The 12,374-nt window shown below is 43.8% G+C and overlaps 2 long non-coding RNA genes across 5 annotated transcripts in view, besides 1 other annotated feature; one reads left to right on the forward strand and one right to left on the reverse strand.

Moving 5' to 3' along the window:
• The window catches only part of LOC105379231 (uncharacterized), a 62,356-nt gene that overhangs the window by 13,405 nt on the left and 36,577 nt on the right, over positions 1-12,374 (forward strand). The gene's annotated exons all lie outside the window — the stretch shown is intronic.
• LOC124901884 (uncharacterized) lies at positions 3,293-9,642 on the reverse strand. The gene is made up of 3 exons (XR_007060813.1): positions 9,566-9,642; positions 7,183-7,311; positions 3,293-3,683 (listed from the first exon to the last, which is right to left on the reverse strand). It is a non-coding gene; the product is annotated as an uncharacterized LOC124901884 (long non-coding RNA).
• Positions 6,407-7,606: an enhancer, noted in NCBI's record as "BRD4-independent group 4 enhancer chr8:9240606-9241805 (GRCh37/hg19 assembly coordinates)". NCBI's record gives its function as "activates an origin of replication core promoter dependent on BRD2, P300/CBP, MED14 and CDK7 cofactors, and independent of BRD4, by STARR-seq in HCT116 cells {active_cell/tissue: HCT116}" and the evidence as "EXISTENCE:reporter gene assay evidence [ECO:0000049][PMID:35650434]".

Below are 12,374 nucleotides of genomic sequence, written 5' to 3' on the forward strand. Positions count from 1 at the left end.
TTCTAGAGCTTTGGGAGGACTAGACAGGTGGATCGCTTGAGCCCAGGAGTTCAAGACCTGGGCAACGTGGCAAAACACCATCTCTACAAAAACACAGAAATTAGCTGGGTGTGGTGGCACGTGCCTGTAGTCCCAGCTCCTAGAGAGGCTGAAGTGGGAGGCTCACTTGAGCTTGGGAAGTGGAGGTTGCAGTAAGCCAAGATTGTTCCACTGCACTCCCGCCTGAGTGACAGAGCAAGACCCTGTCTCAAAAAAAAAAAAAAAAAAAAAAAAGAATAATGATGGCAGCCCCTCACTTAGCCATGAGCTATCAGGCTATCAGGTTATTGGACAATGTTGCACTGGACATGCTCCCAGTTAAATGCACTTACAGGTATTGTTATCTAGATTAAACTAATCCTCACAAAATGAACAAGTGGCTTAAAACAGTTTCTTCAAGGAATTGCCTATGTCATCACTGCAGAAAACTCTGACCCAGAAAATGTCCAAACAACCTGAGTAGTCCATTGAAGATAATAATAATGCAAGCACAAGAGAATATCAAGAAAAAGGAAGACCTGACATTTATTCTACTTGCCAAGTGGGCTCTGTATCTGCCCACATGATGAGTTATTTTAAAAATCAGAGATGATCTATCAGATTTTAAAAGAAGATGGCCAATCTGTGAGAAGATGCTTTTTGAAGAAATGCATGCTATGAAAAGAATAATTTGAAAGTGAATATTTGGAAACATTTTCAAGTTTATGTGTTCTTTTTTTTAATTTAAAAATTCTGTGTGTCACATATAAAAACTCTCATATTATTACACTTAAACTATCAAAAATCTGTAAACGGGCCAGGCGTGGTGTCTCACGCCGGTAGTCCCAGCACTTTGGGAGGCCGAGGCAGGTAGATTGTGAGGACAGGAGATCGAGACCATCTTGGCTAACATGGTGAAACCCCGTCTCTACTAAAAATACAAAAAAATTAGCCAGGTGTGGTGGTGGACGCCTGTAGTCCCAGCTACTTGGGAGGCTTAGGCAGGAGAATGGCTTGAACCCAGGAGGTGGAGCTTGCAGTGAGCCGAGATCGCACCACTGCACTCCAGCCTGGGCGACAGAGCAAGACTCTGTCTCAAAAAAAAATCTGTTAAAAATTCTTCCAAAAAAAGTTTTAATGAGTTTTTAACCTATTTGTTAAAAACACCAAAATGAAATCCAGTAGTCCCCCCACCATCTGTGGTTTTACTTCCTGTGGTTCTAGTTACCCGCAGTACAGTACAGTGAGACGTTTTGAGAAAAAGAGGACCATATTCATGTAACTTTTAGTACACCGTATTGTTATAAATGTTCTATTTTATTATTGTTGTTGTTATTCTCTTACTGTGCATAACTGATAGATTTTATCATAGATATAAATGTACAGGAAAAAACATACTCTATATAGGGTTCGGTACTATCCGAGGTTTCAGGCAACCACTGGAGGTCTTGGAAAGCATCTCCCATGGATAAGGGAGAGCTACTGCACCTTGTGATCAGTTAGGAAGAGAAACTTCTTGATATCAGAGAAAACAAAAATTACCAGCACAATTTAAACAAAAACCTTTACACAATCGATGGAGTGGAATGAAAATGAGCATCTAAAGAGGTTTTTGTTCCATCTGGCTCTGTGCATCTTTGTGAGAGAACATTTTCAGCTGCAATAAGCAATAAAGTCAAGAAAGAAAGAAAAAGTAGAAAGAAAAGAAGGAAGGCAGGCAGGCAGGAAGGCAGGAAGGCAGGCAGGTAAGAAGGCAGGAAGTTAGGAAGGAAGGCAGGAAGGCAGGCAGGAAGGCAGAAGGAAGGAAGCAAGGAAGGAAGGAAGGAAGGAAGGAAGGAAGGAAGGAAGGAATCTAAGAAAGGAAGTCTTTGGAAATATTTTTAAGGGCTAAGAATAGGAATTCCAAACATAAGGAATCAGGAATAGAGAAAGACTCTATGAATTATATACAAATCTACATGTGTGCATGAGGAGTGTGTATGAGCAATAGAATAGAAATCAAGATAGTAAGAAATATTTCTAGTCATAATGCTTTGAAAATAAAATTGTACTTTTAGGTATTGCAGCTTCTACGACTTTGCAAAAACAATACACTGAAATAAATGCTTTCAGTTTGACCACTGTGTTAGTTTTCTAGGGCTACCGTTACAAAAAACCAGAAGCTGGGTAGTTTACACAACAGAAATGTATTTTCTCACAGTTCAAGAGGGTAGAAGTCCAAGATCAAGGTGTCAAGAGGGCTGGTTCCTTCCGAGGGCTGTGAGGGAAGATCAGTTTCATGCCTCTCTCCTTACTTCTGGTGGCTTTCTGGGAATCTTTGGTGTTCCTTGTAGATGGCATCTTCTTGTGTCTTCACAAGGTCTTCTCTCTGTCTCTGTATCCAAATTCCCCTTTTTTTTAATAAGGGCACCACTGATACTGGATTAGGGGCCTACCCTATTCCAGTATCATCTATCAATTACATTTACAATCACCTTTTTCCAAATAAGGTTGCGTTGTGAAGTACTGGGGGTTAGGACTTTAACATTCAAACTTTGGGGAAACACAATTCTACCTATCCCAACGATGACTTTGCAAAAATGAAAATCCACCTTCCTCATTTCTTTTAAAAGTGTGTCTTTGGGCCAGGCGTGGTGGCTTACGCCTGTAATCTCAGCAGTTTAGGAGGCCGAGGCAGGTGGATCACGAGGTCAGGAGATCAAGACCATCCTGGCTAACACGGTGAAACCCCGTCTCTACTAAAAATACAAAAGAAAATTAGCTGGGCATGGTGGTGGGTGCCTGTAGTCCCAGCTACTCGGGAGGCTGAGGCAGGAGAATGGCGTGAACCCGGGAGGCGCAGCTTGCAGTGAGCCGAGATCGCACCACTGCACTCCAGCCTGGGCGACACAGCGAGACGCCGTCTCAAAAAAAAAAAAAAAAAGTGTGTCTTTGATAAAAGGCAAGGACTTGCAAAGCTCGCAGTTCTGTGTTGGTGTCAAGAAATCACAGGGCCCTTAATCACCCCATATGCAGTCTCTACCCTGCACCCAGAGATGGCCCTCGGTGGGTAGAAACTGACCAGAAATATTTTGAGACAAGAATCATAATTTGCATTCCTGTCCCTGTCCTTAGCTGTGCCGTCTACTGCTGGTTTCTCCTTTCCATATGTTTTACCCTTTGTTCTTCTAAAGCTGCAGATAAAAGATTTCAGACCGGGCAACATTTCAGGGTGTTCATACCGTCTGTGAAATACCTTCCCAAATGAACAGTGAAAGGAAGCACTTGAAAGGTCTTATTTTAATAAGATTTTTATTCTGCACATAGAAAAAGAGGGATTTTTCTTCGTTATTGTTAAATTTTTGCCTTTTCCCTGCTATCATTCTCCATGTGAATAAAGAAGTTGTCCTTGCTTCAGGGCAGGAGTTTTTGATTCAGACTACAGTCACTAGGAATACAACACTTAGGCCATTGTAAATCGTTAGTGTAGGTGATAAACAACCAGTATTCCAGTGGAGACGCATTTCATGACCTGTGAGGATGGAAATCTTCCACAACCGTCAAGTGTTGCTTTGGGTATGCATGTGAATGAGTCTGCATAATGAGCAAGGTCTCGGTGACAGCCAGCTCGGGCTCCAGGAGAAACGGAGGTGACTCAGCTTCCATACGTGATTTCGAGCTAGAAACTGCAAGTAGAAAACGTGAATTGATCTGAAATTTCTGAACCTACAAACATCTTCCTGGAAGATTAAAATAACCCAATCTAAAGCCAGTAGAGATACAGAGATTGGTGGAAGATACTTAAAAAATCTATTGGTGTCTGAAACCTAATTTATGTCTGAGTTCTTATTTATGTCGGCAGGCTCTCTGAGGATGTAGGATGAGTAATAGTTACAGGGTGTGACTTTTCTCAAAGAGAAAGCCAGGCCAGAGGTGTCTGACCAAAGACCGTGACCATTTGACAGGCATTGCACGGGGTTTCATAGAGGTGGACACTTCAGGCCTCTTTCAGTCTTTACATTTTATCTGTCTCTGGATGGTGAAGACATTCAGAGGCCTAAATATGGCAGAGGTGATAAAAGAAAAACTTTAGACAAATTACATTTAACAGAGTTTTAGTTGGGCAAATCAATGCATGAACTGGGCAGTCCCCTGAACCTCAGTAGGTTCAGAGAGACTCTGCTGTGGTTGCAGAGGATGTATGGAGAGAAAAAGGAAAGTGATGTGCAGAAGATGGAAGTGAGGTACAGAAACAGCTGGATTGGTTAGAGCTCAGCGTTTGCCTTATTTGAACATGGTTTGAATAGCTGGCTATCTTTGATTGGCCAAAACTTGGTGACTGGCAAAAGAGTAGTACCTGACTGGTCACACGTCCAGTTAGGTAATAGTTCACAATGTGTGGAGAAACCTTTAGGCTGACGTTAAAATATGTAAGGAGGCAGCTTTAGGCTAAACTTAATTTAACAGAGGGATGTGAATCTGGGCCAGAAATTCAAAAGTCCTTTCCTAGTCCAGCACTCTATTGAAGTATTCAGTTCTGGAAGAGAAAGACAAATGGCGAGTTGGCGTAGAAACAATATATTATCTATACTAACTAGGATGAATTGTTTATTATTTCCATAGGAAAAATAGGATGGTCTACGCCAGGGACAAATGCTTTTTTATCTATCTTTCAGAGGATAAAAGTGACACTAGTAGTCTGGGGGAGGTCCCCAAATGCTGTTGGAACCTCAACCCCAACCAGTGTCCAGGATCTTGACACCATTTTAAGAATGAATTCAAAGATGAATTGGGAAATATTAGTGAAAGTACAGAGATTTATTGCAAAGAGAATAGCACACACTCATAAAAAGGGGATGCAGGTGTACTCAAGAGAGAGATCCACCAAGGGGGTTTGGGGCTGTTGCCTTTATAGTTTTCTTTAACCAAGGGGTAGAAGATTCATGAAAATTCCTAGAAAAACATGGAGATTTCTCGGAATTGTGGTGCTGCCCATTTTTACACCAAATATGGTTGTTCCTGAAACTGTTATGGCACTGGTGAATGTGTGATTTAGGATGTTAATGAGCAGAAGGTGAGGTCCTAGGTGAAACCTGGCTCAAGTCCAGCACCACATTTGGTCCAGTCAGTCTTAGCCAGCTTGGTGCACACGCTGGTTTTTCAGGGTCTTAGCCGTTCCTAGCTTCTGCAGCTATTTTAATAGTTTCCTTTTGCTAGTCATGTAAAACTGTTGCCTGGAATTTTCTATTGTCCTGCAACTATGCTGTATTACTCCTGTCTTAAAAAGGGTTCAAGCCTTTCTCTCTCTCTCTGTCTCTCTCATTTAAGGTAGAGTCTGTCTCTGTCGCCCAGGCTGGAGTGCAGTGGCCCCATCTTGGCCCACTGCAATCTCTGCCTCCCAGATTCAAGCAATTCTCTTGCCTCAGCCTCCCGAGTACCTGGGATTACAGACGCACACCATCACACCTGGCCAATTTTTGTATTTTTAGTAGAGATGGGGTTTCACCATGTTGGCCAGGCTGATCTCAAACTCCTGACCTCAGATGATCCGCCTGCCTCAGCCTCCCTAAGTTTTGGGATTACAGGCATGAGCCACCGCACCCAGCCAGGGTTCAAGCCTTTCTGAAAATTACTCAAGTGTTTGGAGAAGCCCCCTTTGCTCTCAAATGCCCCATAATTAGAATCAGCAAAAGCACATGTATGGTCCCTACAATAAGAGGCAGCTTTTGTCACTGTTCCCAAGATAAGTCAACTCTACCAAGAGGTCAGAGGGTTATGTGTTCAGTGTGACATTTAAAATCAAGAAGGAACATAGTGGCAAGTGTTTAGCTACCTTCAACCTTGTCTATGAATGAGCTGACCCACTTTCTTTTTTGAAAAAAATTGTGATAAAACACATATAACTTAAAAGTTACCCAGAAAACTTTTAACCGTTTTTAAGTATACAGTTCAGTGGTGTTAAGTATATTGAACAATGCTGGGCAACCATCACCAACATCCATTTCCAGAACTTTTCTATCATCCCAAACAGAAACCCTCCACTTCCTCTTTAACCCAAAAGAAATCAGTGTGCAAATTGTCTTATTTTCTCCTCTCTGACTCCAAGTACTGCTTCAGCTCAGCAGTGCCTTCTACCAAGGAGCAATGGGGCTGAGAATGCATAGTGCCCATTTTAACAGTACAATTGTCTTAGCTAAGGTTCCCAGCTGTTCTCAGCACCTGCGTGGGACCTGGGCCCGGGCTGTACCACGCTGACAGTGAACATACACTCGGGGCCTCTGCCAGTATTTTTCCAGGAACACTGCCTCCTCAACACGGTCTGCTCGTTATGTGCTGAGATGAGTGCTCTATTAATTTTAACGATGCCATAAAGTGGGTGATCAGAAAATGTAATGGAGCAGCCTGCTTTCACTCTCAGAGGTTAATGACAGTGGGCACAAGATCAACAAATAGCGTTAAGGCTGAGAAATGATTCCTTCCTCCTGGTCATCTGTCTGGACTGGGCTCTTCCAATGGCTTTGTTAATGTAGGTGCCAGCGGTAAATCTCTGAAATCAGGATGGACAGTGTGACAGGGGCAGAGCCTTGTGACCCATGGCCTTGGCTCTCCCCACCACTTCCACTGCTTCCACCGCAGGCGGTGGGAATGGCTCTGCCTCTGGGGTGAAGGAAGGGTTATGGGCAATGTAACTGCTTTGAATCATTCAGATCTCCTTCTAGAATATAGGATCAACTCAGACAAGGTACCAGTTCTACCCGCGCCACGGTCACTTGAGGATCTTATCACCACCACACACACAAGACTACTGGTAACACTGAGGTATTTTTGTCTTTGGTGGCTCCTCTGCTGTCATAATAGTCTAGGCCTGTTTCATTCCTCTCTTTGAAATCAGTCACGTGGCTGGAGCTTGTGAATTACAGCCCACATTCCTGATGGAGGAACTGAGGCTTAGTGCATTAAGTGACTGCTATAGTTTGGATTTGTGTCTCCCAAACCTCATGTTGAAATGCGATCCTCAGTGTTAGAGGTGGGGCCTAATGGGAGGTGTTACAGTCACAGGGGTGGGTCCCTCCCGAATTGATTAATGCCCCTCAGGAGACAGGGGTAGAGGGGAACGAATGAGTTCTTGCCCAACTAGTCCCCTGTAGAGCTGATTGTTAAAAAGAACCTGGCGTCTCCACTCACGTTCTCTTTTGCTTCCTCCTCCTCCGTGTGATCTCTGCACATGCAGCCTCCCTTTTTCCTTCCAACTTGAGTGGAAGCAGCCTGAGGCATCATCAGAAGCAGATGCTGATACCATGCTTCTTGTAGAGCCTGCAGAACAGTGAGCCACATAAACCTCTTTTCTTTATAAATTACCCAGTCTCTGGTATTCCTTTATAGCAACACAAATGGACTAAGACAGTGACTAACCAAAAAATAACCAGTTAGTTGAAACCCCAGACCTTCCCTGCTAGCCAATTGATTTGTTGCTCCGTTTGTTTCTCAGTAGGTACAGCATCAAAGACCAACACTTGGGATTGATTTTGATGAGACCCAGCACAGGCAATAATCAGGGAGCTTGAGACTCTGGAACCAGAAACTGGACACAATATTCTGAATAATAGAGTCCCATCATTGAAAACAACCTGAGTTTTTGTTTAGACCAGTGAGCCTCCAATAATTTGTACTGGTTAAAATACAAATTCCTAGGCTTTCTCCCAACCAACGAATTCAGAATTTCTTGGAGGTGGAATGCAGAAGTCTGCATTTTTTTTTGTTTGTTTATCTTTTGTTTTTTATTTTTCGAGATGGAATCTCGCTCTGTTGCCCAGGCTGGAGTGCAGTGGCGCAATCTTGGCTGACTGCAACCTCTGCCTCCCAGGTTCAAGTGATTCTCCTGCCTCAGCCTTCCGAGTAGCTGGGATTACAGGCATATGCCACTGTGCCTGGCTAATTTTGTATTTTTAGTAGAGATGGGGTTCTCCATGTTGGTCAGGCTGGTCTCGAACTCCCGACCTCAGGTGATCCACCCGCCTCAGCCTCCCAAAGTGCTGGGATTACAGGCATGAGCCACTGCACCCAGCCAGAAGTCTGTATTTTTTTTTAACAGCTTCACAGGTTATTCTGAGGCTCTACCAGGTCTGAAAAACACAGTGACCACATTGATCAGATCTCCCACAGAAGATGCATCTGAAAGAACCATGAGGCAATGTCCTCTTCGTTCTGGACTTGCACTCTTGTAAGTGCAGCCTGAGATGGTATTAGCGTTTTCAACAACGGAATCACAGTGGGAAATCACTGTTGACTTTGCGGTCAGCTCATATTCTCCAGTTCTTTCCTCATGAACTGCCATCACATTTATTCTTGCATCTCTAAAGACGCAATAAATGAAGGATTAGGTTTGAAAAACCAGAATCATAATTTAAGCCTACTTTACTTGGCCATTTCTAATGACCATCTTTTGTTGTTAAAATCAATTATGTTTATACAACTATTATACACTCAGAATAATTAAAATAAAAAAAAATTTTTGGGCCGGGCGCAGTGGCTCACGCCTGTAATCCCAGCACTTTGGGAGGCCGAGGTGGGCAGATTACAAGGTCAGGAGATCGAGACCATCCTCGCTAACATGGTGAAACCCCATCTCTACTAAAAGTACAAAAAATTAGCCACGCGTGGTGGCAGGCACCTGTAATCCCAGCTACTCGGGAGGCTGAGGCAGGAGAATGGCATGAACCCAGGAGGCGGAGCTTGCAGTGAGCCAAGATCGTGCCACTGCACTCCAGCCTGGGTGACAGAGCGAGACTCCTTCAAAAAAAAAAATAAATAAATAAAAATAAATTGTTAAATCAATGGTGATTCCATCTTACCATATCAAAGTAGAACACAAGGAGGAAGGAGGCCTTCTTCTCTACATAGCATAGTTCACATTTCAATTCAATTCAGCAAATATTTAATAAACAAATAATTCAGCAAATTGTTTAAGTGCTAGGCACATAATACGTAAATGTATAACTCAAACACAAGATGGAATTGATATTTGCCAGGAAAGAGATGCAAAGTGTTATGCATGTTCACTGAAGGCAAAAATAACATCCTGTTGGGTGTGGGTGGAGGACAAAGAGGGACCTTAATAGGAAGAGATCTCATTTGAGCTGGAGCTTCAAGCCATCTGCAGAGAAGGGCTAAGGGCTAAGGAAACCATTTCATAGACAGAAAATTTTGTGAGCCAGCAATGAATGTACAAAGCGCATTTGGAGAGTGTTGTGGTCATAGAACAAAAAGCTGATTTTAAGGCTAGAAAAGTGGGTTGGGGCTGGTTGTGGAGGGTCTTTGAGCTAAAGAGTTTGGATTTCACTTTCCAGCAGTAGGGGAATCATTACAGGCCCTGGAGCAGAGGAGTGGCTGCTTAGGACAGACTGAAGCCATGGGAAATTGGAGTCACGGGTTCCTACCAAGATTTAGAAGATAATAAAATATTTATAATTCTGAAAAGTTGTAAACAACCTGTATTAGTTTCCTGTGGCTGCTGTAACAAATTACCACAAAGGTGGTGACTTAAAACAGCATACATTTATTCTCTCACAGTTCTGGAGTAAGAAGTCCAAAACCAGTTTCACTGGTCCAAAATCAAGATGGCTCCAGGGGAGAACTTGCTTTCATGTCTTTTCCAGCTTCTAGAACTTCACTCCTTCCATTCCTTGGCTCTTGGCCCCTTCTGAAACAAGCATGTGCTATTTTTGTAATTAAAATAAAGATGAGGAGTAGTAAATGCGGACCATAAACAGGGCAGTGGTACAAGGAAACGACTGATGTGAATTGAATTGCAGAGAGCAAGTCTCTAAGATTTGCCAACTGGTTGGCTATCAGGAATGATGGAGCACTCATTGTCCTCCATTGAGAATGGAGACTCAGCCTGCAGGGCAGAGAATCGCTAGGCTGCTAGCAGCCATGCAGGCAGGGGCAGCTAGTTTAAGAAAGAGGATGGCTTTCTTCCAGTTGTATTTATCCTTTCAGGCAAGCTCCCTGCTAGTATTTGGCTTTTATGCTATATGACATGAAACTTCCAGAGTTTTCATCTAACCAGTCTCTAAGAGGAATCTGCCTTTAAAGAGCCAAGGCCCTTCAGCAGTTCTGAATTTGCACTTCAAAGGCTCCCTGATCTCTGCAATCTCAGAGCCCTTACCTTGCAGCCTGGCTCTAATGAGACGTGGCAATGCCTTTGCTCTGGGCTCTTATCAGCCTTGGCAGCCTGGGATTCTGTGGGGAGGCTGTGAACCAGCTCCCTTGGGAAGGTCTGTTGCAGAACTGCTTAGAGATGGAGGGGGAAGGAATAGTTGGCAGTGGTCTCTGGACCATCCTTGGACCAGACCGAGGATCTTCCCTATGCCAGAGGGACAGTGTCCACTCTCTGCCCTCTTTCAGTCCCCAACCAGGCTGTGACCTCCTGCTCACCTCTTCTGCCCACCCTCCATCTCCTCTGCCCTCACATCAGCACCCTAGTAGCAGCCTTTGGAGAGAGTCCCAGGAGGCGAGTGAGTGCAGAGGGGAGGGGCTCATATATGTAAAGAGTGCATATTCCGGATCTCAGTGGAAAACTTTGTTACTGAAGCAAACTCGGGTCTGCCCACCTGGTGCAGCAAGGCCAAACATTGACATCAGGATTTGCAATGAGAAAAGGTGAGGCATTTATTACAGGTCACTAAGCAAGGAGAATCAGGCAGCTACTGCTTAAGACCGGAACTCCTCAATGGCTTCCACTAAAGGTGGGGAGGCAGAAATAACAGGCAAAGTCATAAATCAATACAGTGGTTGACCTATAAAGGTGGGACATCTCAAAGTGAGGCCGCAGGTGGATGGTGAATTCAGAGATTCTCTGATTTGCAATTGGTTAAGGAAGGGAAGCTTTATCTAAAAACTTGGGGTTAGCAGAAAGGAACGTTAAATTCTGACCTGTGGGTGTGGCTCCCTCCAGGCCCCTCAGGAAGAAATTTAGAATAAAGAATCATAGTCAGACTTCAGTCCTTTGTTCCCCCTCATCTGAGGTCTGTGCACCAGTGGGTCCATTTGGTAGAGGTCTGGGTTTCTAAGTTGTTTCTAAGAAACAACTCAGGGAGACATATTAAGATGTTATTGGCCGGGCACCGTGGCTCACTCCTGTAATCCCAGCACTTTGGGAGGCCAAGGCAGGCAGATCACCTGAGGTCAGGAGTTCAAGACCAGCCTGAGTAACGTGGTGAAACCCTGTCTCTATTTAAAAAAAAAAAAAAAAAAATTAACCGGGCGTAGAGGCAGGCACCTGTAATCCCAGCTACTAGGGAGGCTGAGGCAGGAGAATCACGTGAACCCGGGAGGTGGAGGTTGCAGTGAGCCAAGATTGTGCCATTGCACTCCAGCCTGGGCGACAGAGCGAGACTCAGTCTAAAAAAAAAAAAAAAAAGATATTATCTTTAGTTTCTATAAAGGAACCAGACATTCTGTGTCTCTAACTTCCTTGGCTATTGTTTTAGGCTATTATTGCTTTCTTGCTTATCAGTTGCTCCCTTACTTTTCAAAGCTGGCTCGGTGCCTGAAGTTTCCTTTGAAGGAACTCAAAATTTCTCTTTATTTCCATGCTTGGGGATTGCCCAGCAGGCCCCCAACAGGGGTCCCTGCCCTGTCTCAACTTCTTTGCAAAACAGCACAAGACTGGAAAACTGGAAACTAGGAGGCCAGATCCTTTTGTGACCATTAACTTGGCACAAGTAACCTGTGAAAGGCCCTTCCCTCTCCTGACTTGTGTTGGACTGGATTTTTCATGCTTCTTTCTAGAGCCCGCGTTCTGGCCTCTGCATGGAGCACATTTGGAGATGAAAAGATAAACGCTTATCACTGCTTCTCAAAGTGTGCTTTGGTTTGCAGGAGTGTAGTAAGCTGAATAATAGTCACAAATGATCCCTGGAACTTGTAAATGTTATCTTATTTGGAAAAAGAGCCTTTGATTATCCAGGTGGGCCCTGCATACCATCAGAAATATCTTTATAAGAGAGAGCAGAGGGAAATTTTACAGACACACACGGTGAAGTGAATATGGAACAGGAAAAATTTCTACAATGTTGGCTTGAAAGACTGGAGCCATGTGGCCACAACCCAAGGAATGCCAGCAGCCACCAGAAGCCAGATGAGGCAGAGGACAGACTCTGTCTGAGAGCCTCTGGGGAAAGTGCAACCCTGCTGAAGGTCTCTGCTGAAACCTTGATTTCAGTCCAGTGATACTGATTTCAGACTTCTGGCCTCCAGAGCTGGGAAAGACCAAATTTTTGTTGTTTTAAACCGTCAAGTTTGTGGTCATTTTATTTTTATTTTTTTATTTTATTTTTTTACAATAATAGCCACAGGAAGCTAAAACAACGGGA

This window comes from Homo sapiens, chromosome 8, assembly GCF_000001405.40.
Source record: "Homo sapiens chromosome 8, GRCh38.p14 Primary Assembly".
In the NCBI taxonomy this organism is placed as follows: Eukaryota; Metazoa; Chordata; class Mammalia; order Primates; family Hominidae; genus Homo; species Homo sapiens.